General features: G+C 48.2%; 2 protein-coding genes and 2 pseudogenes across 10 annotated transcripts in view, besides 12 other annotated features; 2 read left to right on the top strand and 2 right to left on the bottom strand.

The window, feature by feature from the left end:
• Positions 1-2,115: part of a biological region, named in NCBI's record as "3p25 FANCD2 Alu-mediated recombination region", that runs on past the window's edge. NCBI's record gives its function as "recombination_partner: LOC107303341 | LOC107303342".
• Positions 1-6,625, bottom strand: part of FANCD2 (FA complementation group D2) — a 75,496-nt gene extending 68,871 nt beyond the window's left edge. For 4 of the 6 annotated variants that reach the window (NM_001018115.3, NM_001374253.1, NM_033084.6 and 1 more), the window contains exons 1-3: positions 6,589-6,625; positions 4,341-4,437; positions 90-230 (exon numbers count right to left, since the gene is read on the bottom strand). In NM_001018115.3, coding sequence (NP_001018125.1) covers positions 90-230; positions 4,341-4,404 — 205 coding nt within the window. In that variant the 5' untranslated portion in view covers positions 4,405-4,437; positions 6,589-6,625. Of the gene's footprint in view, positions 1-89; positions 231-4,340; positions 4,438-6,435 lie in introns of all 6 variants that reach the window. The other 2 variants (NM_001319984.2, NM_001374255.1) reach the window with 1 other exon arrangement.
• Positions 1,212-2,115: a meiotic recombination region, noted in NCBI's record as "meiotic double-strand break mapped by DNA meiotic recombinase 1 chromatin immunoprecipitation followed by single-stranded DNA enrichment and sequencing in the germ cells of some male individuals with the PRDM9 A/A genotype". NCBI's record gives the evidence for it as "EXISTENCE:chromatin immunoprecipitation-seq evidence [ECO:0000229][PMID:25395542]".
• Positions 1,541-1,840: a mobile genetic element, noted in NCBI's record as "direction; forward".
• Positions 1,581-1,610: a non allelic homologous recombination region, noted in NCBI's record as "AluY recombination sub-region a, recombines with the AluYm1 recombination sub-region within the 3p25 interleukin 1 receptor associated kinase 2 Alu-mediated recombination region". NCBI's record gives the evidence for it as "EXISTENCE:nucleotide sequencing assay evidence [ECO:0000219][PMID:19280651]".
• Positions 1,786-1,798: a nucleotide motif, noted in NCBI's record as "nucleotide motif; similarity to the predicted 13-mer PRDM9 A binding motif (LD hotspot motif), CCNCCNTNNCCNC".
• Positions 1,839-1,851: a nucleotide motif, noted in NCBI's record as "nucleotide motif; similarity to the predicted 13-mer PRDM9 A binding motif (LD hotspot motif), CCNCCNTNNCCNC".
• Positions 5,892-6,526: an enhancer, noted in NCBI's record as "H3K27ac hESC enhancer chr3:10068220-10068854 (GRCh37/hg19 assembly coordinates)". NCBI's record gives its function as "activates a minimal SCP1, AML or CMV promoter by ChIP-STARR-seq in naive H9 embryonic stem cells {active_cell/tissue: H9 hESC(naive)}" and the evidence as "EXISTENCE:reporter gene assay evidence [ECO:0000049][PMID:30033119]".
• Positions 6,527-7,162: an enhancer, noted in NCBI's record as "H3K27ac hESC enhancer chr3:10067584-10068219 (GRCh37/hg19 assembly coordinates)". NCBI's record gives its function as "activates a minimal SCP1, AML or CMV promoter by ChIP-STARR-seq in naive and primed H9 embryonic stem cells {active_cell/tissue: H9 hESC(naive and primed)}" and the evidence as "EXISTENCE:reporter gene assay evidence [ECO:0000049][PMID:30033119]".
• CIDECP1 (CIDEC pseudogene 1) lies at positions 6,926-15,509 on the top strand (annotated as a pseudogene). Its single transcript, NR_002786.1, has 3 exons — positions 6,926-7,021; positions 9,315-9,502; positions 14,991-15,509. The product of NR_002786.1 is annotated as a CIDEC pseudogene 1 (transcript).
• Positions 7,798-8,434: an enhancer, noted in NCBI's record as "H3K4me1 hESC enhancer chr3:10066312-10066948 (GRCh37/hg19 assembly coordinates)". NCBI's record gives its function as "activates a minimal SCP1, AML or CMV promoter by ChIP-STARR-seq in primed H9 embryonic stem cells {active_cell/tissue: H9 hESC(primed)}" and the evidence as "EXISTENCE:reporter gene assay evidence [ECO:0000049][PMID:30033119]".
• Positions 19,929-20,678, bottom strand: MARK2P2 (MARK2 pseudogene 2; annotated as a pseudogene).
• Positions 21,390-21,915: an enhancer, noted in NCBI's record as "H3K4me1 hESC enhancer chr3:10052831-10053356 (GRCh37/hg19 assembly coordinates)". NCBI's record gives its function as "activates a minimal SCP1, AML or CMV promoter by ChIP-STARR-seq in primed H9 embryonic stem cells {active_cell/tissue: H9 hESC(primed)}" and the evidence as "EXISTENCE:reporter gene assay evidence [ECO:0000049][PMID:30033119]".
• Positions 21,390-21,943: a biological region, named in NCBI's record as "H3K4me1 hESC enhancer GRCh37_chr3:10052831-10053356".
• Positions 21,714-21,943: a silencer, noted in NCBI's record as "silent region_14054". NCBI's record gives its function as "represses an Ori minimal core promoter by ATAC-STARR-seq in GM12878 lymphoblastoid cells {active_cell/tissue: GM12878}" and the evidence as "EXISTENCE:reporter gene assay evidence [ECO:0000049][PMID:35858748]".
• The window catches only part of EMC3 (ER membrane protein complex subunit 3), a 48,437-nt gene continuing 47,319 nt past the window's right edge, over positions 21,944-23,061 (top strand). For all 3 annotated transcript variants that reach the window (NR_148535.2, NM_018447.4, XM_005265321.4), the window contains exon 1: positions 21,944-22,039. The gene's annotated coding sequence lies outside the window, so the exon portion shown is untranslated. The remainder of the gene's footprint in view (positions 22,040-23,061) is intronic.

Raw genomic sequence — 23,061 nt, 5'->3', positions numbered from 1 at the left:
TCTTCATTGCCTCTCTATTTAGAAAACCCATGATTCAGTCCTGAACTATTTCATTAAACCCAGAGAATAAAATTAGATTAAAATATTACCTAGTTGATTCTGACTCTCTCCCGTTTTAAGAATAATTCCTGATATCTTAAGAAGCTTTACAAAGATGCTGTCATTTTCTTCAACTTCATTAGCAATATGAGATTTCTTTGTCTTTTTGGAAAGTGGTTGCTTCCTGGTTTCTGAAAATAGAAAAATTTTCAAGAATATGGCAAATAGTAAAGGAAAAATTAAAACTTAAACCCAGGAATAATAATCATGAGAGGAAAACTGATGTGTCCTTAAAAATTATACTAGGATTGATGCTGTAGTGAAATAAACTGTCTTCAGCAATAGTGGCTTCCAAAACAAACAAATAGAATTATTTTCACCTATTTTCATTTGAAGAATTCAAAATGTGCCATTTCTGGCCAGGCAAGGTGGCTCATGTGGTAATCCCAGCAAATTAGGAGGCCAAGGCAGGAGGATCACTTGAAGCCAGGAGTTCAAGACCAGCCTGGGCAACAAAGTGAGACCACCCCCCCATCTCCCCCCCTTCACCCCCATTCCCCCCCTCCACACACAAACTAGTTAGGTGAGGAGACGCACACCTGTAGTCCCAGCTACTTCGGAGGCTAAGGCGGAAGAATAACTTGAGCCCAGGAGGTTGAGGCTATAGTGAGCTATGATATTACCACTGCACTCCAGCCTGGGTGACAGAGTGAAATCCCCATCTCTAAAAAAATAAATTCAAACAAATAAGTGCCTAACAAGAATAACCCACAGAAATGTTTTCCACCCAAATACTAAACTAGCCAGTGTCTCTCAAGCTGTTGCCTGCAAACCACTGTACTGGAATCCCTGGGAAGCTTATTAAAATGCATATTTCCGACCCAGCACAGTGGCTCACGCCTGTAATCCCAGCACTTTGGGAGGCCGAGGCAGGCTGATTACCTGAGGTCAGGAGTTCAAGACCAGCCTGGCTAACGTGGTGAAACCCCATCTCTACTAAAAATACAAAATTAACTGGGTGTGGTGGCGTGCGCCTGTAATACCAACTACTCGGGAGGCTGAGGAGGAGAATCACTTGAACCCGGGAGGCAGAGGTTGCAGTGAGCCCAGATCGCGCCACTTCACTCCTGCCTGAGCAACAGAGTGACACTCTGTCTCAAAGGAAAAAAAAGGCATATTCCATGCCATATACCAGAGTTACTGAGTCAAAATCTTGGGAATGGGACCTAGGAATCCGAATTTTTTATGTTCTTCAGATAATAATCCTGATACACACCAAATTTGAGACTCAATGATCTGAATAAAGGGTAGACAGAATGGGGAAGGTTCTTTGTATCATATCTTTGACTACAATGCTCAGATAGGTTTAATCCCAAGACTTTCAACCCATAAAAAGAAATAAGAAACAAGAAACAAACAGGTACTTGAAGCCAAGTTTAAAATTTACTCTTCTCCCTTAATGATGCCATTTTGTTTTTTCCTTCTTCAATTCCTCTCCCTCTTTCTTTTTTTTTTTTTTTTGAAATGGAGTCTTGCTCTGTCGCCCAGGCTGGAGTGCAGTGGCGCGATCTTGGCTCACTGCAAGCTCCGCCTCCCGGGTTCATGCCATTCTCCTGCCTCAGCCTCCCAGTAGCTGGGACTACAGGTGCACACCACCACGCCCGGCTAATTTTTTGTATTTTTAGTAGAGACGGGGTTTCACCATGTTAGCCAAGATGGTCTCAATCTCCTGACCTCGTGATCTGCCCGCCTTGGCCACCCAAAGTGCTGGGATTACAGGCGTGAGCCACCGTGCCTGGCCTCCTTTCCCTCTTTCTAATAAAGCCTTAATCAGAATGAGACAAAGACCACTACCTTCCTGAATGAAATGTAAAACACAACCAGAATGAAAGTTTCAGTTTGTTCATTACTGACCAAGAGAACCCAAATCCCTTCTAATAAACTTAATTCAGAAGTCTCTTCTCTTTTGGAGAACAGTATTTCCAAAGTATAACATTTACTTTCAGTAATTTCCTATATTATTCCTCTTCAGTTTCAAATTTTCTACCAATTTCTCTATATTCTAATTCTAGAACCCCATTACTAATCAACCATTGGAGCTTCACAACTTCCTTTTTTTTTTGAGATAAGAGTCTTGCTCTGTTGCCCCGGCTGAAGGGCAGTGGCGTGATCTCAGCTCACTGCAACCTCCACCTCCGGGGTTCAAGCAATTCCCCTGCCTCAGCCTCCCGAGTAGCTGAGATTACAGACACGTGACACCACGCCCAGCTAATTTTTGTATTTTTAGTAGAGATGGGGTTTCACTATGTTGGCCAGGCTGATCTTGAACTCCTGACCTCAGGTGATCTGCCCGCCTTGGCCTCCCAAAGTGCTGGGATTACAGGTGTGAGCCACTGTGCCCGGCCCACAGTTTCCGTTTCTAAATCAAGCCTATTCCTTACATGGTTTTGGACTCACAATTTTTATCATTATAATCACTGTTCAGCAAGCATTTTCATCTATTTCGGTTGAATTGACCAAGAATCAGACTTAACTTCCAATAACCTAGTAAGAAATAACTCTTCAATCCACAAGTCAGTAGAAGCTAAGCTATGAGAATGCAAAGGCATTAAGAATGACATAATGAGGCCAGGCATGGTGGCTCACGTCCGATATCCCAGCACTTTGGGAGGCTGAGGTGGGTGGATTACCGGAGGTCAGGAGTTTGAGACCAGCCTGACTAACACGGTGAAACCCCTTCTCTACTAAAAATACAAAAATTAGCCAGGCATGATGGCATGTACATGTAATCCCAGCTACTTGGGCGGCTGAGCCAGGAGAATCGCTTGAACCCGGGAGGCGGAGGTTGCAGTGAGCCAAGATTGTGCCACTGCACTCCAGACTGGGCAACAAGAGCCAAACTCCATCTCAAAAAAAAAAAAAAAAATGATATAATGGGCCAGGCGTGGTGGCTCAAGCCTGTAATCCTTGCACTTTGGGAGGCCGAGATGGATGGATCACTTGAGGTCAGGAGTTCCAGACAGCCCCTGGCCAGCATGGTGAAACCCCGTCTCTACTAAAGATACAAAAAAATCAGCCGGGCATGGTGGCTGGCGCCTGTAATCCCAGCTACTCGGGAGACTGAGGCTGGAAAATCGCTTGAACCTGGGAGGTGGAGGTTGCAGTGAGCCGAGATTGTGCCACTGCACTCCAGCCTGGGTGACAGAGTGAGACTCCGTCTCAAACAACAACAACAACAACAACAAGAATGATATAATGGACTTTGGATACTCAAGAGAAAGGGTGGAAGGGGGGTTAGGGATTGAAAAAATACACATTGGGTACACCATACACTTTTCGGGTGACAGGTGCACCAAAATTTCAGAAATCACCACTAGAGAACTTATTTATGTAACCGAACACCACCTGTTCCCAAAAAACCTAGTAAAATAAAAACAAACCAACACAAATCAAGATTAATAGAGTAGATAAGAGCAATAAATGAACTATCAACCTCCCCGCCCCCCACTCCCTTTTTGAGACATGGTCTCTCTTGCTCTGTCGCCTAGGCTGGAGTGCAGTGGTGCTGTTATTGACTCATTGCACCCTCGACCTCCTGAGCTCAAGTGATCCTTCCACTTCAGCCTCCTCAGTAGCTGGGACCACAGGCACAAACCACCATGCCCAGCTAATTAAAAAAATTTTTTGTAGAGATGGAGTCTCGCTATGTTACCCAGGCTGGTCTTGAACTCCTAGCTTTAGGTGACCCTCTCACCTTAGCCCCTCAAAGTGCTTGGATTACAGGTGTGAGCGATAGCACCCAGCCATCAACTCCTTATATCTGGAACTCTTGGGATCTTTGTCAACTATTTCTCATATGGGCAGAGTCTGCACTGTTTCTTTGCCTCTGGTTTGCTTGCTTTGATGTATTTTTCCTTTCACATCACTAACATAGCATGTGTCTAGATCATAATATTTTTTTTCCAAGAGAGGAAGAAAGACCATAAAGTTTTTTAAGGGTACAGACTATGTTATGTCTTTGTGTCTCAACACCTAAATGATGTATAGCAGAAAAAGTCTGTAACACTAATTCCTCTTATGGATGTGGAGACTGAGGTCCAGAGGCTGTGGTCATACTCAAAGTTATACGCAGAATTCGAGGCAAAAACTCAGTCCCAAATCTGATATTTCTCCCTTAATTCTGTGCACTCCATTCATTACACTTTGAAGATTCTCAGCACTTGAAAAGCAGGAACTTTATATCTCTCACATGCCTCACACATTGCTACAGGAAATAAAGCAACAAATGACTAGATACTTACTGGAGGCATCTTCTGTCAGGCTCTCTTTATCCTCAGATTTTGACAGTCTTCTTTTGGAAACCATTTTGACCAATGTCTTGTGCACTTAAATTACTTCCTAGAGCAAAATCGGGAAACAGAAGTTACCCTCTAGAAGATAAATTCTGAGAAGTTAAAGCTATTGTTCAAAGAAAACTGCTCTATCCAAAATCAGAGGGGCTCACATCTCCATATTAATGCTACCTAAACCTAGGTGCTAAGCAAATTTCAACTCTTACATCTAGCCAATACTACCTTCCTTTCAAGTCTTAGTTACCTCTTTAGGCAGACTACTTCGCTGTTGCTGAAGGATAAAACCCATCACTCTCCATCTGAGATTCAAGACCCTCCATTATCTATCCCCAACGTACCTGTCCTTTAATTCATGATTTCAATACTATATGTTAGGGACTGTGCTAGGTGCTGGGGTTACAACTGTGAACTAGACAGACATGATCCCTGTCCTCAGGGAATTTACAGTATGGTAACAAATAGCCTTAATGTACTGAACTACAGTTATGTAAGTGCTATAAAAGTACAGGTTCTATGAGGGCTTACTAGGAAATTTAGTCTAGTTGCTAGTAAGGGTGGTAAAGAGAAGCAAGGACCATTTCTTAGGGACAATCTCCTTGAATTTTTTTTTTTTTTTTTTTAGTAGAGACAGGGTTTCACCATGTCGGCTAGGCTGGTCTCAAACTCCTGACCTCAAGTGATCCACCCACCTCGGCCTCCCAAAGTGCTGGGATTACAGGTGTGAGCCGCCCGGCCTAAAGAAGTGATTTTTTTTTTTTTTTTTTTTGAGACGGAGTCTCACTCTGTCACCCAGGCTGGAGTGCAGTGGTGCAGCCTCGGCTCACTGCAAGCTCCACCTCCCGGGTTCACACCATTCTCCTGCCTCAGCTTCCCAAGTAGCTGGGACTACAGGCGCCCGCCACCACGCCCGGCTAATTTTTTGTATTTTTAGTAGAGACGGGGTTTCACCGTGTTACCCAGGATAGTCTTGATCTCATAACCTCATAATCCGCCCGCCTCGGACTCCCAAAGTGCTGGGATTACAGGCGTGAGCCAACCGCGCCCGGCCTGAAGAAGTGATTTTTAGGCAGGGACTTGAGGGCTGAAACAGCAGTTAGCCAGTAGAAGGGGTAGGAGAAGAGGAGTCCAGGCAAATAGATACTCATACTGAAACAAGGAGATGTGGAGTTAGAAATCAGACAGCAGAGGTGGGGGAAGTGCCTGAATCACATGACCTTTTAATCTTGTAAATCAGAACCTTCGTGGTCTCAGTGCCTTTGCACAAAGGTGTTCTTTTCATCTGAAGTGCTCTTATTTGCCTGGAAATTCCTACTCAGATCTAAACATTCAATCGAATGTCATCTTCCTTGAAAAGTGTTCCTCCTATCCCTAAGGGAGTTTGCTACTGCAGCTTCCCTGCTCCACAGGGTATACCTAGGGGCCCTTACCTCACACTAGACTGGGGCTCTTTGAGAGCAGGAACCCAGTCTCACTTACTCAATGTCCCTAATGCCCAGCATAGTTACCGGCATAAGGAAAATTTCTGAGAATATTCAGAGTGAAAAAAGCTCGCAGTGCAGGGGAAATGCTAAAAGCTAACAAGAACTGTTTCAAGTGCTTTATATTTAATAATTCATTTATTTCCCACAAAACTTTTTGAGGTGGGTACCATTATTCTCATCATCACGGGCAGAACTGGGATTCTAACTCGGAGTCTGGCTTCAGCACCTGCGCTCTTCACCACCTATACTTACTCTTGATGATTATAATGACTTCTAATAATGGTTAACATTTACGAGGTACCGGGCCCTGTGCTAAACTTTTTATTTATCGCCGCTTCGGTTAATACGGATAACCATTATCAGCCATCTTGCAGATGGAAAAACTAAGTCTTGTCAGCACGTCCGGCTTCCAGGCACCCGCCTTTAACACGTGCGATACCATCTGGCTTCCAGAAAAGCCCAACAGAAGTGAGATGAGGCCGACTGCCTGGATTAGTTCATCGGGAAGCGGGTGAGGGTAAAAGCCTTTCTCGTTTCCGCATTTTAATGACGCAGAAAGGTACCTGTGGGGATTATCCCATCTCAGGGCAGATGAGGAAGCCAAGGTTCGGGGCGCGGAGCCCCAGAGGAGAACGCCGACCGCGGCCCGGACTTAGAGATTAGGCCGCAGGGGAGCGGGGCCTCGAGAGACTACGACCATTGCTCCACTTACTCACCGAGAAGCCGTCGCCGCCCGTAGTTTTCGACTTTCCCGCCAGGCCCGACGCCGCTCTGACGCCACCGAGGCGCGCCATGACGTGACGCCAACTTCCGCGCCGGAAGTGGAAGGCCGGGCAGCCCAGCTGAAGGCAATAAGCTGGGCTCACCGCTGCAGCAGAGTTCTGTGCTAGCCGGGCATAGGGGCGAGAGAAGGCCCAGAGGCGACGTCAGAGAGAAGCAACTGCGCCCCGGTGAAGAGAAGCTCGCCCATCACCGGCTGGGAGCCAGCTTTCAGTGAAGATGGCAGGGCCAGAACTGTTGCTTGACTCCAACATCTGCCTCTGGGTGGTCCTACCCATCGTTATCACTCTTCGTAGACATGATCCGCCACTACGTGTCCATCCTGCTGGAGAGCGACAAGAAGCTCACCCAGGAACAAGTATCTGACAGGTCAGCGCCCTCCCTTCCCCAGCCTACCTCACACCGCCGTGACCTTGGACAAGAAAGTGCAGGCGTTGTGTCAGTTTGCCTAGGTTCACGTCTCGCCCCCACTGGCAAGGTGACCTTACCCGTTACCTCTGTGTTTCACTTTTGTCCTCTGTGAAATGGGGATAATAACAGTACCTCCCTCATAGACAGGTGGGAATCAAATTAGATGATGTCTGTAAATCCCTTAGCACAGGATCTAGGACGTATTGAGTGTTAAAAACAAAAAACAAAAACGGTGCTGTTAATCCTTTAGGTTAGTCGCCAACCCTCGGTGGGTTTACCTATGAACTATCCCATCCCACCCTTTCGTTGGGAAGAGTGCCTGGTGCTTTATAGCTTTTAGTATTTGTAACATCCAGTCAAGTGAGTGTGATAATCTGCATTCTACCAAATTACTGTTCCAATGGTTAGCTGAGATGCTAAGCACCAAAGCGCTTTGCAATCTGTAACACTGCTGTTAGACATGTAAGGAATTGTAATTATCATTTCCCTTCCTAGGGTGGAGGCAACTTCCTCACATACTTCATTGCAGTATTTATTTATTTATTTAATTTAACTTAATTTAATTTTTGAGACGGAGTTTCGCTCTTGTTGCACTAGATTAAGTATCTATTATTTTTCCGTTTGCATATTTTATCACTTGAACAGAAACTCTGAGCGCAGGGTCATGACCTTGCCTTACTCTATACCCCATAGCATGCAGCAGAGTGCAAGGCACATGGTAGGCCATCAAAAAACTTGTTCACAGCCAGGCGTGGTGGCTCTCACCTGTAATCTCAATACTTTGGGAGGCTGAGGTGGGAGGATCGCTTGAGCCCTGGAGTTCAAGACCAGCCTGGGCAACACAATGAGACCACTGTCTCTACAAAAAAATTTAAACATTAGCCAGGTGCAGTGGTGTGTGCCTGTAGTCCCAGCTACTCGGGAGGCTGAGGTGTGAGGATCACTTGAGCCCGGGAGTTCGAGGCTGAAGTGAGCCATGATCGCACCACTGCGATTGCAGCCTCAATCACTGCAGCCTCGACCTTTTTGGTCCAGCCTGGGTGACAAAGCAAGACCCTGTCTCCAGAAAAACAAACGAAAAAACACTTGTTCAGTCTACGATAATTCAAGACTTTTCCAGGCAGTGTAATCAAAAGAAATTCATCTAGCTCTCCTATATTTACGCTGCTGAATAGTTTTGTAGAAATGGAGTTGAATATCATGACCCTGAGGTATTTTAAGACCCTAAATAAGCAATCTTAAATTATCCTGTATTTTCTAAACACTCAATATCTGTGTTATCTGAAGTTTGCAAATTCCGCAAGAAATTTTTAATTTTGTATTTTTATTTTTGTGAATATCTAAAAATAAGTCCTTGTACTGTTATAAAGATAAAGCTTTGTAATTTGTAACTGAAAGACATCTATTTATTTTTGGCAGAGACAGGGTCTCACTATGTTGCCCAGTTGGTCTCAAATTCCTGGGCTCAAGGGATCCTCCCATCTCAGCCTCCCAAAGTGCTGGGATTATAAGTGTGAGCCACTGTACCAGGCCTAAATGACATTGTCTTAGAATAAAACTTTAAACTCGGTACCTCTCAAACCAGAGTTCCATATTCTTAAGAATCTATGTCTTCTCCTTTCCAAAAAGTCAGTAGTATATTCTTCAAGTTCGAGAACCATTTTTTACACACATTCTATCCCCAAACCTAGTCTAATATATTTTATTCATGTATTTTTCAGCTTTGGTTTAATACCTGTCAGAATTTTTTTTTTTTTTTTTTTGAAACATTGTCTTGCTCTGTTGCCCAGGCTGAAGCTGGGGAATAAGGTCAGTGATGCTTCTGCCATCCCTATGGAGCCACAGAGCCAGTCTGGGAAGCCCCACTTCATAGCTCCTTGGCTGCCAGGGAAAGAACAAGTGGGCTGGACTCTATGAGGTGGAACTGGAGCCCAGGCCCTCTGTTGTGGAATCACTACCCAGAGACTTTATCAGGGTACCTCTTGGCTCCTGGCTTCAGGGTTCATAGTCTAGAAAAATATTGTCCAATAAAATATAATGTAAGTTACATTTACCTTTTAATTGTGGTATGGTTTCCTTCCTCTAAAAGTTTACAATTCAGGGTTTTTTAGTATATTCACAAAGTTGTGCAATCATCGCCACTATCTAACACTGCGGTGACTAATAGGCTGGAATGCAGTAGTCATAAGCCTATCATAAGCGTAAGTAGAGAGTCTTTAGGGGTGCTAACCATCTGGTTGTCTCGATGCAGGGGACGAGGCACCCACAGTCCCTCTCCCATAAGCCTGCCAAGAAGATTGATGTGGCCCGTGTAACCTTTGACCTGTACAAGCTGAACCCACAGGACTTCATTGGCTGCCTGAACATGAAGGCGACTTTTTATGATACGTACTCCCTTTCCTATGATCTGCACTGCTGTGGGGCCAAACGCATCATGAAGTGAGCAAATTGGGGTTTCCTGGGGACAAGGTGGGTACGGGCAATGGGAGAGCCCCTGTCTGTTCACATGGACTCAGCCTTCTCAGCACCTGGGTCTGGCTTTGGTGCTGACAAAGCATAGCCTGTATCAGACAACACGGAGCCTGATGGGCTCTCGAAGTGCTGTGGACAACACTGGCGTGTGCCCAGGGGTGCACATGTTCCTCCTGGTGGAACCTGGATGCATTTTATTTTTATGACTACTTTCCACTCTAGCAACTACATTTTTTCATTGAAATAGGAAGTTTTCCTAAGTAGTCTTCTAGTCAGTTTTTTAAAAATGAACATGTGTTGGCCAGGCATAGTGGCTCACGCCTCTAATCCCAGCACTTTGGGAGGCCAAGGTGGGTGGATCACTTGAGGTCAGGAGTTTGAGACCAGCCTGGCCAACATGGCAAAACCCAATCTCTACAAAAATTAGCTGGACATGGCAGTGCATGCCTGTAATCCCAACTACTCAGGAGCCTGAAGCAGGAGAATCGTTTGAACCCAGGAGGTGGAGGTGACAGTGAGGCGAGATTGTGTCACTGCACTCCAGCCTGGGCAAAACAGCAAGTGTCTTACCAAAAAAAAAAAAAAAAAGTATGTGTCAAAGATTTCATTGAATTCATTAATTAATGAGAGAACTAGCAAGAAGTTACAATCAGTTCAAAGGAGAATTCAAAATCCCACACATATATAGGTCCAGTAAGAATGATGAGATAGGCTGGGTGCAGTAGCTCTCACCTGGAATCCCAGCACTTTGGGAGTTCAAGGCAGGAGGATCTCTTGAGCCCAGGAGCTTGAGACCAGCCTCGGCAATAGTGAGAGAGAGAGAGAGAGACACACACACTTACACACACACACGGCAGGAGGATCTCTTGAGCCCAGGAGTTTGAGACCAGCCTGGGCAACACAGTGAGAGAGAGAGACACATGCGCACACACACACACACACACACCCCTGGGCAACATAGAGAGAGACACACACACACACACATACACACACACACACACACACACACACACACAGTTTGAGACCAGCCTGAGCAACATAGTGAGAGGCATGCACGCTGGGAGCAGTGGTAGTATGTGCCTATAATCCCAGCTAGGTGGGAGGATTGCCTGAGCCCAGGAGTTTGAGGCTGCAGTGAGATATGACCATACCATTGTGTACTCCAGCCTGGGCAACAGCATGAGGCCTTGTCTCTAAAAAGAAGAAAAAAAGAGATAAATGTATACATACAAAATTGGGTTTTTTCTCCCATGGGGATGGGAGGGATGAAATAATCTTCCCTCCATAGGACAGAATTAGTTTGCAAGTCTTATGGACCAGAGTCATTTGTACTATATAATGAACTTTTCTTAAAACTTATTTTGAAAGCCTAACCAAGTGTCTCAGGAAGCATGAGAATATGTGAGGTTAGAAGCTGCATGCCGTTATGGTGATGTTTCCCAAATTCTGCCGCTCCAGTGGCGCCCTGGGGCATCCTTCCCCATTGGGTGGATGTAGCCACTGAGGCTGAAGTGATTGAATCAGTCCAAAGCCGCAAAACTTGCAAGCAGCAGAGCATGGCTGCTAGTCCATCTTTCCGATAGTCTATTCTTCTCCAGTTCCTTCATTCAGTGTTTCCTGAGTGCCCACTGTGTGCCTGGCCCTATGCTGTAACTACAGATTCAGAGATGAACAAAATACCAGATAGAACAAGTTCCCTGAGGGCAGGAATTTTTGTGGCCTTCAGCACCTTGGTGAATGCTGACACATAGTAGTTATTTAAATGATTGTAGAATAAATGAAGACACAGGCGATCTCTATTCACATGGGGCTTCTGAGAAATCCTGCTCAGGATCCCAAGAGTTCTACCAGATCACATGTAGCTAGAACATATCAGACCTTCTTGCTTTCTTAGTTGATCTCCTGCAGACCCAATCTGCAGTTGAGGAAACTGAGGCTGTGTGGGTCTGCTTGCCAGAGACAACAGTGGGTGGCAGGCTTGAGCCTGGTTCTGTGGCTGAGAGTTCCATTTTCCTCCTCGGCTACTTCTTCCAGGATACTACCATCTCATGCCACCTCTTGACCTCAGACTACCTACCACCAGTAGTCTGCATTATTTCAAAATTATGAACAAGAAGTTTCAGACCAGCTGGGGGCAGTGGCTCACACCTGTAATCCTAGCACTTTGGGAGGCCGAGGGAGGTGAATCACCTGAGGTCAGGAGTTCGAGACCAGCCTGGGCAACAAGGTGAAACCCCCGTCTTTACTAAAAATACAAAAATTAGCCGGGCGTGGTGACACACTGCTGTAATCCCAGCTACTCAGGAGGCTGAGGCAGGAGAATCACTGGAAACTGGAATGTGAAGGTTGCAGTGAGCCGAGATCACACCATTGTACTCCAGCCTGGGCGACAGAATAAGACTCTGTCTCAGAAAAAGAAAAGGTCTCAGACCTTAAACTCAGTCCAGTTAGGGGAGGTGGGACACTTCGACCTAAACACAGTCTGGTGACTGGAATCAGTTTAGTGACTTAGTGGTATCACTAGGTTTTTTTTAATTATAGTAAATATGTATAGCATAAAATCTATTGTTTGGACCATTTTAAGTGTACAATTCAGTGCCATTAAGTACGTTCACAATGTTGCCCAGCCATCACCACCATCCATTTCTAGACCTCTTGCATCATCTTAACCAGAAACTCTGTCCCCCTGAAGCACTAAGTCTCCATTCCTCCTCCAGACACTGGTAGCCTCCACTCCACTTTCTATGTTTGCCAATTCTAGTACCATATGGAACTGGAGTCAGTCAATACTCGTTCTTCATTTCTAGCTTCCTTGACTTCGGATTTTCAAGGGTCGTTCATATTGCAGTATGGATCAGAATTTCATTCCTTTTTTTTTTTTGAGATGGAGTCTCACTCTGTCACCCAGGCTGGAGTGCAGTGGCGCGATCTCAGCTCACTACAACCTCTGCCTTCCAGGTTCAAGCAGCCTCAGCCTCCCGAGCAGCCCGCCACCATGCCCGGCTAATTTTTTTGTATTTTTTGAGTAGAGACACGGTTTCACCATCCTGGCCAGGTTGGTCTTGAACTCCTGACCTTGTGATCTGCCCACCTCAGCCTCCCAAAGTGCTGGTATTACAGGCGTGAGCCACCGTGCCCGGCCTCAGAATTTCTTTCTTTTTTTCTTTTTTTTTTTTTTTTTTGAGACAGAGTCTCATTCTGTCGCCAGGCTGGAGTGCAATGGCACGATCTCAGCTCACTGCAACCTCTGACTCCCGGGTTCAAGCGATTCTCCTGCCTCAGCCTCCCGAGTAGCTGGGATTACAGGCACGTGCCACCACGCCCGGCTAATTTTTGTATTTTTAGTAGAGACAGGGTTTCACCGTTTTGGCCAGGATGGTCTCGATCTCCTGACCTCGTGATCCGCCCGCCTCGGCCTCCCAAAGTGCTGGGATTACAGGCCTGAGCCACCACGCCTGGCCGACCTCAGAATTTCATTCCTTTTTAAGGCTGGTCAGCTAGGTTGTCAGCCTCAGTTCCTTAATTTGAGAAGTGGGTATACTTCTAAGTTATAACCTTGAAAATATAAAGTATTCTCTTGTGTAGATGTGAATAGTTCTAAGTCTTTCTGCCACCCACACCCCAGTCAGACCATAAATTCACTTATTGAATGAATGTTAATAAAAGACTAAAGTTTGAACAACAGCCAGGTAACATTTCTTTGCCTTTTATTTTCCACTCCCCTATCTCACTTAGGACTAGACACCTCGAGTGACCCTCACATTCCCCTTTCAAACAGATTTGGTAAGAATTTGATTAAAATTATCTAGCATTCTTTATATTTTTTTAGAGACAGCGTCTCACTCTGTCATCTAGGCTACAGTGCAGTGGTGCAATCATGGCTCACTGCAGCCTTAACCTCGTAGGCTCAAGTGATCCTCCTGAGTAGCACAAGTGTGTGCTACCATGCTTGGCTAGTTCTTTAATACTTTTGTAGAGACAAGGTCTCACTAGACCAGGCTGGTCTCAAACTCCTGGCCTCAAGCCATCCTCCTCGGCCTCCCAAAATGCTGGAATTATAGGCCTGAGCCAGTGCACCTAGCCAAAGTTGTCTAGCATTCAACCAGCTGCTCTTGAACCTGCCCCCGCTTCCCCATTTCCCCTACTTTTCAAATATCCAACCCCACGTTAATTGCTTTATGCTATTTCAGCCTTATGACCCTGGGTGGCAGGTGCAATCCCATTTTACCCATGAGGGAGCTGAAGCTCAAAACTAGAGCAGTTTGCTGAAGTTCACCCAGCTAATAAGACTGGATTAGGACTTAGGCCTGCCTGATTCAGGTTCAGTTCTCAGTACATGCTCATGCCAGGCATGGATGTCTTCATGTCCAGCACTCTGAACATGAGCTAGACTGCAGGTGACTTAGAAAGGCCTCAGAGTCTAGAACAGAGTGTCTCAAGGGCAGAGCCACATTATGGAGATTAATCTGGCTGGACCAAAGTAGTAGTAGAAAAATAGAAAGCCATATGAAATGAGCTGGGGTTTTGCATGAGAAAGTAGGGAGGTTCCGGGCATCTCAGTTAAGGTGGAATTGCAGGTCCTCGCCCTAATCCTGATCCCATCTGCAGCATCTGTTCCTATTTGCACATTGCTCTAGAATTGATGAAATGCTTTTAGTGCTACCACCTCAGTGGTATTCAAATGTTATTAATGAAGAAAACAAACATAATGAAACCAATCCCTTCCAGGCCAACATGGGAATAATGGGTTGTAGGGAGGTGTACACTTATGTTTTATTCTTACTTGTTTTTGAGACGCTCTGTTGCCCAGGCTGGAGCGCAGTGGTGCAATCTCAGCTCACTTCAACCTCTGTCTCCCGGGTTCAAGCGATTCTCATGCCTCAGCTTCCCAAGTAGCTGAGATTACAGCTGTGTGCCACCTCACCTGGCTAATTTATTTGTATTTTTTAGTAGAGACGGGGTTTCACCATGTTGGCCAGGCTGGTCTCAAACTCCTGACCTCAAGTGATCTGCCCGCCTCAGCCTCCTAAAGTGCTAGGATTACAGGCGTGAGCCACTGAGCCCAGCTTTGTTTTGTTGTTGTTGGTGATGGTGGTGGTTTTTTTGTTTGTTTGTTTTGTTTTGTTTTTTTGAGACAGAGTCTTGCTCTGTCACCCAGGCTGGAGTGCAGTGGCATCATCTCAGCTCACTGCAACCTCCGCCTCCTGGGTTCAAGCGATTCTCCTGCCTCAGGCTCTCAAGTAGCTGGAATTATAGGCGCCCACCAGCAGGCCTGACTAATTTTTGTGTTTTTAGTAGGGACAGGGTTTTACCATGTTGGCCACACTGGTCTCAAACTCCTGACCTCAGGTGACTCACCCACCACGGCCTCCCAAAGTGTTAGGATTACAGGCATGAGCCACTACGCCCAACCTACTTCGTGGTTTTGACTTGCGTGCCCTCTCATTCCACCCAGGGAAGCTCTCCACTGGGCCCTTTTCAGCATGCAAGCCACGGGCCACGTGCTGCTTCACCTCCTGTTACCTGCAGCAGCTCCTCGATGCCACAGAGGACGGGCATCCCCCCAAGGGCAAGGCCTCATCCCTCATCCCGACCTGTCTGAAGATACTGCAGTGAAAGCCCAAGCCCTAGCTTTCCCCAGTGAAGGACTAGACTAGGGGCCCCACGCTCAACTGGTAGTGGCCACAAGCCTGGCAGCTGTAGAGCCGCTAACCTCCCGACACCTCCCTCACCACACAGGACCCTGAGTGAGGAGGAGGGGCTGGAAACCTGGGATGGGTTGGCCAAAGGAGAACCTCAGGCTCCTGGCCTGGCCCAGCTCCTTCCTGCCCAAGGTAGCTTAGCCCATCCAGACTGGTCCTGAAGTCTGTCCCTCCATTGGCATGAAGTCTGCCCCTCAGCAGTCCGGCCTCACAGGCTGTACTTTCATGGTGCTCTCTACCTTCTGGCCCCCATCCCAGAACATTCGTGAGTGAATTCGCAAGCATACTAGCATGTGATATTAGGGAGTTTGCAATAAATTATTGATGCTGATGTATCTTTGCCTGTGTTCTTTGGGGTGGGGTTCTAGCTGGAAGGTTGGAGAGGGCTAAAGGAAGAGATGAATCTGTTGTCAAACTATTCTCCATAACATAAGATTACAAATAATAGTTTTTCTACCAAAGGGGGGAAAAAAAAAAAAAGCTGAGCACAGTGACACGTGCCTGCAGTCCCAGCTACTCAGCAGGCTGTGGTGGGAGCATCCCTTGAGACCAGGAGTTCAAGGCCAGCCCGGGGCACAATAGCAAGAGCCCAGGCTCTTTAAAAAACAAAATTGCAGGGGTGGGGGGAGGGGGGAGGGATAGCATTGGGAGATATACCTAGTGCTAGATGACGAGTTAGTGGGTGCAGCGCACCAGCATGTCACATGTATACATAGGTAACTAACCTGCACATTGTGCACATGTACCCTAAAACTTAAAGTATAAAAAAAAAAAAAAAAAAAAAATTTGCAGGCCGGGTGCAGTGGCTCACGCCTGTAATCCCAGCACTTTGGGAGGCCCAGGCGGGCGGATCACGAGGTTGGGAGATCGAGACCACAGTGAAACCCTGTCTCTACTAAAAATACAAAAAAAAAATTAGCCAGGCGTGGTGGCGGGTGCCTGTAGTCCCAGCTACTCGGAGAGGCTGAGGCAGGAGAATGGCGTGAACCCAGGAGGCGGAGCTTACAGTGAGGCGAGATCGCACTACTGCACTCCAGCCTGGGCGACAGAGCGAGACTCTGTCTCAAAAAAAAAAAAAAAATTGCATTTGATTTTGAAACTAAAGTCGGCTAAATTTGAGGCTTGAGCTGACCATGTAATTGATACCATAAGTAACAATTTCCTAATTAAATTCACCTATCAGAGGAGCTTCAATTGAGCAGGTGGGATTAAGTCACTCTTCTAATTTCTCAGTGTCCCGTTTTATAATAACCATTTAAGTGGTTAGGTGAAAAAGTACTACTCAAGCTGTAAGGCATTTCCCCGTCAATGCCCATCCTAACTTGCCAGACAGCTTATCTTTCATGTTCAGGACTTTCAACCTCGGGATTTCAAAGTGGGCTCATAGGTAGCCCCAAAGAGTAGGAGCTTCTCATCAGTGTGAGCTGGCATTTTCCAATATTGGACAACTCAAGACAAGCATGAAAGGCTGAATTTAGGCTGGGCGTGCTGGCTCATGCCTGTAATCCCAGCACTTTGGGAGGCCAAGGCAGGTGGATTACCTGAGGTCAGCAGCTGGAGACCAGCCTGGCCAACATGGCCAAACCCTCTCTCTACTAAAATACAAAAAATTAACCAGGCATGCTTGTAGGCATCTGTAATCCCAGCTATTTGGGAGGCTGAGGCAGGAGAATTGCTTAAACCTGGGAGGCATAGGTTGCAGTGAGCCAAGATCGTGCCATTGCACTCTAGCCTGGACGACAGAGTGAGACTCCGTCTCAAAAAAAAAACACAAACAAACAAAAAAAAAACGAAAAATAAAACAAAACCAATCGTTTTACAACTCTTACTATAAAGCCTATTTGGATGTAGTAAATACTAAGGCAAAGGTCTGTATTACCAAAGATGGTCTGGGAGCTATTTCTGGCAGCGGACCCAAACCCTGCAACCTGTGGGTGAAGCTGCTGAAGCTCACTGAAGAGGGCCTGCTATTCTGGGCTCTCCTTCTCTTGCAGTTGTGGCTGGAGGCTGGCCTGGTGTCAGGCTGGCTCCATGGGGTGGGCCGTCTGGCAGGGAGGCCTGATGTTTGTATTAGCACAGAATCTATCCCAGTCCACCCTTGCCGAAGCTGTGGCGGGGCCTACGTGCTCCTTCCGTAAAGTGCTCAGTAACAGAGTTGGAGTGGGGGTGGGAGGCTCGGTATTTGTCCCAAGCTTCCCTCCTCCTGGGATCCGGAGTTTCACAAGTGAATCTTGAGCAACTGCCCACGGTCTCTTGGCATTGAGCCCAGGGAAAACAACGTTCTTCCTTTTCTTCCAGGAGCTCGAGGCTAATGGAGTCAAAGCAGCTGTGGTCAGTGAACAGGAAAAGGCAGCCTTTGATGAGGCTGGGGGGCTGGGGAGGGAAGATTCCAAACAGCAAAGGAGCTTGAGCCTCAGTAGGGCCTGGCGATCCTAGTGGGAGAATGGCCTTTCCTGGAGACCCCCCCGCACAGCCAGGAGCAGCTGTCGTCAAGGTGGGCTGTGTCCCAGCCCCTCCAGCTCAGCCTTTTCATCTGTTCAGGCTGGTGCTCACGAGTGCACAGGACGCCTTTCAGAAGGAGGATTCTAAATCCCGGGGGTCTGTAATGGCACAGCCACATGTCTGAGCCCAAAACAAGAGAACCACATGTGTTTTTGCCACACTTCTTGCCAGTGCTGTCCATATTTGTGTACATAATTTTTTGTTTCTTTTCTTTGAGACAGAGTCTCACTCTTGTCACCCAGGCTGGAGTGCAGTGGCACGATCTCAGCTCACTGCAACCTCTGCCTGCTGGGTTCAAGCAATTCTTCTGCCTCAGCCTCCCAAGTAGCTGGGATTACAGGCACCCACCACCACGCCCAGGTAATTTTTATATTTTTCATAGAGATGGGGTTTCGCCATATTGGCCAGGCTGGTCTCAAACTCCTGACCTCAGGTGATCCACCTGCCTCAGCCTCCGAAAGTGCTGGGATTACAGGCGTGAGACACCACACCCGGCTCTTGTGCACGTAATTCTATTTTATTTGAGATGGAGTCTTGCTCTGTTGCCCAGGCTGGAGTGCAGTGGCATGATCTCGGCTCACTGCAACCTCCGCCTCTCAGGCTCAAGAGATTCTTGTGCCTCAGCCTTCCAGGTAGCTGGGACTGTGCACCACCATGCTGGGCTAATGTTTGTATTTTTAGTAGAGTTGGGGTTTCACTTAGCCAGGCTGGTCTCGAACTTCTGGCCTCAAAAGATCTGCCCGCCTCGGCTTCTCAAAGTGCCTTGGATTCCCAAAGTGCTGGGATTACAGGTGTGAACCATCATGCCTGGCCTGTGCACATCATTTCAATAACTGATATTTTGAAAACATTGTTTATTGACATAATTTATGTACAATAAAATGTATTATTTACAAGTATGTCTTTCAATAAGTTTTGGCAAATTTATACAGTTATGTAACCACCATTTCTGGCAAACCAGAAAGCTGCCATCTGTCCCTTTATAGTCATGTAAATAGACTTTTCTAAAATGTCATGTAAATAGAATGATATATCTTAAAAATTTTTATTTCTATTTTTGTAAATTAAAAAAAGTATTTAGAAAATTATGAATCATATAGTCTTTTATATCTGGCTTAGATTTTTAAACTGTGTGTGTGTGTGTGTATGTGTGTGTGAAGAAGAAATATATCAGCAAGGTAAAACATTTAAGCTGTTCCAAAGGGTAAACATAATTACTCATCTAACCCCATCTGATTCCTTCAGAAGCAAACACCATCTTGTTTTTGTGTGTACTTTCAGAAACACAGAAGGATGTAAATATGACTAAGAAATTGGCCGGGCGCGGTGGCTCACGCCTGTAATCCCAGCACTTTGGGAGGCCGAGGTGGGCAGATCACGAGGTCAGGAGATCGAGACCATCCTGGCTAACATGGTGAAACCCCATCTCTACTAAAAATACAAAAATTAGCCTGGCGTGGTGGTGGGCGCCTGTAGTCCCAGCTACTCGGGAGGCTGAGGCAGGAGAATGGTGTGAACTCGGGAGGCGGAGCTTGCAGTGAGCCAAGATTGTGCCACTGCACTCCAGCCTGGGCGACAGAGCGAGACTCTGCCTCAAAAAAAAAAAAAAAAAGAGACAGAATAAATAGTAAATAGTAAAATGCAAGAAGTGAGGCTTCACCACCCCACCTAGCTGATTTTTGTCTTCATCTGTGCAACTATGTTGGAGCAATCTTATTCCTCCTTTTCTTCGGTGGACACATGCAGCAAAATCTTAATAGAAGTGAAAGATGCGTCCTCCGGCAGCCCTGTGGCAGCCCCAGTTTCTTTTCTTTTCTTTTTTTTTTTTTTTTTTTTTGAGACGGAGTCTCACTCTGTCCCCCAGGCTGGAGTGCAGTGGCACAATCTCGGCTCACTGCAAACTCCACCTCCCAGGTTCACGCCACTCTCCTGCCTCAGCCTTCTGAGTAGCTGGGACTATAGGTGCCCGCCACCAAGCCTGGCTAATTTTTTGTATTTTTAGTAGAGATGGAGTTTCACCATGTTAGCCAGGATGGTCTCGATTTCCTGACCTCGTGATCCTCCCGCCTTGGCCTCCCAAAGTGCTGGGATTACAGGCATGAGCCACTGCGTCCGGCTGCGGCAGCCCCAGTTTCTTGTTGGCTAGGCTGATGTCACAGCCTCAGGCTGTCCAGCTTGGACAACACTGGCTTCCTGTGATGATTGTCGCTGGGCAAGGGACGTTTCTGGGTCTCTGCCACTGCTGCTGGTGGTGTGGGTGGAGGTAGAGGCCACAGCGTCACGCTGGGGGGCTTTGCCAAAACTGTCCGGCTTCCTCTGCAGGCTGGCAGGGGCACTGGCAGGAACAGTGGTCTTCTGCTGAATGCTGAATATGGGACAAGCTGGCTCGCTGTGAGCCTGCTTCAGTGGGAGAGAGAAGGTGGAAACTTCAGTGGATAGAGAAGGACAGGTGGGAACCCCAGGAGGAAGGGACCATGGTCTGATGGTGGACTGCTTCTTTTGTTTGTTCTAAAATGAGGTAGGTGGCCATAGGATAGTGAAACGCTTTTTCTTTGATTGGCACAGAGATGTTCTTGGCCTGGAATCCCATGGCCACCATGAGCTGGGTGGTATGTTGGCTCATGGCTCTTTGTATGTTGTCCGTGGCATCTCCTAACCACAGTTCACCCACCAGTCCCTCAAAACTTCTTTCAGTGGGGGCCACTCCCTGGGTTCTAGTGTTAGTAACTTTTGAATGAATCTTTCAAGTTGAAGGGAAAAAAAATGGTGAGGCGTGGTAGCTTCCTGTGAAAATTTGATTCTTGAGGTCCATCGTGTTCCCTGAATAGAAGGGTAGGGCCCCGGCCACCATATGGTAGAGTATGACGCCAAGGCCCCATATGTCCATGGCAGGGCACTGGTACCCCCAGCCCAGGAAGAGTTCTGAGCAGGAATGGTGGTCTTCTGCCTTCACTTCTCGCCGTCCTTGGGCAGTCAAAAATTAAAAGTGGGAACAGCTGGCTCCCTTTGAGCCCTCTTTGGTTCCACAAGGAAGGCAGACTTTGTCAGATGGGGAAGAACAGGTGGGACCCCCAGGAGGAAGGGCTGTGCTCCAATGATGGAGCGCTTCCTCCTCTGTACTTTTCTCTACCCCAGGATTAGGTACGTGGCCATGGGATAATCACATATGTATTTTTTGTTGGGGAGAATATTGATTCCGAGATGTGTGCTGCTTGGAATCCCATGGCCACCATTACCAGGGTTGTAGGGGGCATAGGTGTCCAGGGTCTCTGTATGGTGTCAGCAGTGTCTTCTGGCCAGCATTGACCCAGGGGTCCCACGTCAGCTGGTTTAGTGGGGGCCACTCCCTGGGGTCGAGGCTGAGGAATTGTTTTACTAGTGTTTCCAGTGGAAACGAAGAAATAGGTGGGCAGTCATACTGTCACATAGCCTGAGGCAGGAAGGGACCACGGGTGGGGCTGGATGTTTTTCAGCCTCCCTGGCAGAGATCACTGACAGAGTGGTCAGCTTGGCCAAGTTTCTGCGGTGGCTGGCAGAAGAGGGAGAGGGAGGCAGTCCCCAGAGCAGGAATGCCTTCCCTTGCAGGGGAAAAACCGGCCATCCTCCCCTCAGAGCCTCCTTCACTGCAGCCCGTGGGAAGTGAGTGACCTGGGGGATCCGTGCCCCAGGGGCTAACCTCTGGGCTCTGGCTTAGCCCCACCCCGGGGAAACATTCACAGCCCCTCCTGAAGAGAGCCTTGCTGCAGGAAGACTCTGGCGGCGGGTGTGGGGGGGTGGTGCCCAGCTGGGAGAGTTCTGGGCTGTTGGTGGCAGTACCCCAGGCTCCAAACTCTCTGGGCCTGGGGGCAATTCCCTTCCCTGAGTACAACAGATTCCCACCCCGCCCTGCCCTACTGCCCGCCCCGCAGGGAAGTGGCCCAGGAGAGGAGGCGTGGACAGGTATCCCAGTGACTCCAGTCGGAGTCAGCTTGGGTAGCATGGCCCGCGGAAGACAGACCGGGCGAACGGGGCGGGCCCCAGGCTACCGAGCTGCAGCTGACAGGCAGTCCGGCGGCGTCGGGTCTCCATGGATACGGGGGTGGGGCCAGGCGGCGGCGAGCGGCGGCGGGCGGGGCTTTTAACGGCCATCGGCCCCTCCCAGCCTGGACAAAGACACAGAGCGCGGCCTGGGAGGCGGAGCTCTGCGGGCGGCCGGGGCCGCCTCCTTCCAGGCGCTGCTGCCCCAACACAGGCGGGCACTCTCTGCGGGTCCCGCGGCTCCCGCGGCTTCCGGCCCACTCAGCGCCTCCAGAGGCCTCAGGTGAGGGTCACCCCCCGCAGCTTGGGGTCACTCCCCTGAGCCCCCGGATCTTCCCATGGGTCCTTTGGAGGCCTGGGTTTTGGAGTTTGTCCTTCGTTAAGTGCCGCCCGCCGGGCGCGGCTGCTCCAGGACCACAGGTGACCGAGTGCGGCCGCGTCCCCTGCGGGCCACCCATCAAGGGCATAGGGGAGAGGCTCCTCAAGGCGCAGTGACCAGCCCTGCCCCGGGCTGACCCTCAGGGTGGGGAGGGGGCACTAACTCGGGTCCTCTCCCCCTAAGGCTCCTTCCTCACCTGGGGTGAAGGGCTCCCAGTCCTAGCACCTCAGGGGCCTTCCTGTTTCATTCATGCCAACAAGTGAACATTGAGCATTTGCTGTGTGCAGGGACAGAGAAGACAGACACGCTGGCCACTGAGTGGGGGAGGGAGTCTAGTCTATCAGTGCAGAAAACTCCCCATAGAGGTGGGGGCTATGACGGAAACACCAGGAAAAGTGATGGTGGAAGATGGGGGTGACCTACTGCAGATGGGGTGCTCAGGGAGGGCTTCTCTGAGGAGGTGACATTAACTAGATTGACAAAAGGGATGATCAAGGCCTGTGAAAGTTTTTTTTTTTTTTTAGACGAGTCTCGCTCTGTTGCCCAGGATGGAGTGCAGTGGCGCGATCTCGGCTCGCTGCAAGCTCCGCCTCAGCCTCCGGAGTAGCTGGGACTACAGGAGCCCGCCACCACGCCCAGCTAATTTTTTTGTATTTTTAGTAGAGACGGGGTTTCACCGTGTTAGCCAGGATGGTCTCGATCTCCTGACCTTGTGATCCGCCTGCCTCGGCCTCCCAAAGTGCTGGGATTACAGGCGTGAGCCACCGCGCCCGGCCGAAAGTCTTTTAAGATAGGGAAGAGCAGTGCCCAGTGGGGTGTCCCAGGGATAAAAATAGGGCAGTAGGTGAAGGCGGGGGGTGTGAGCCAGGCAGGCAGGGGGGACCAGACACCATGTGATGGGTGCAGGGGTGGGACCCACGGAGGCT

Source organism: Homo sapiens, chromosome 3, assembly GCF_000001405.40.
Source record: "Homo sapiens chromosome 3, GRCh38.p14 Primary Assembly".
Classification (NCBI taxonomy): domain Eukaryota; kingdom Metazoa; phylum Chordata; class Mammalia; order Primates; family Hominidae; genus Homo; species Homo sapiens.
Note: the sequence above shows the minus strand (reverse complement) of the source record. Positions and strands in the feature narration are given on the sequence as shown.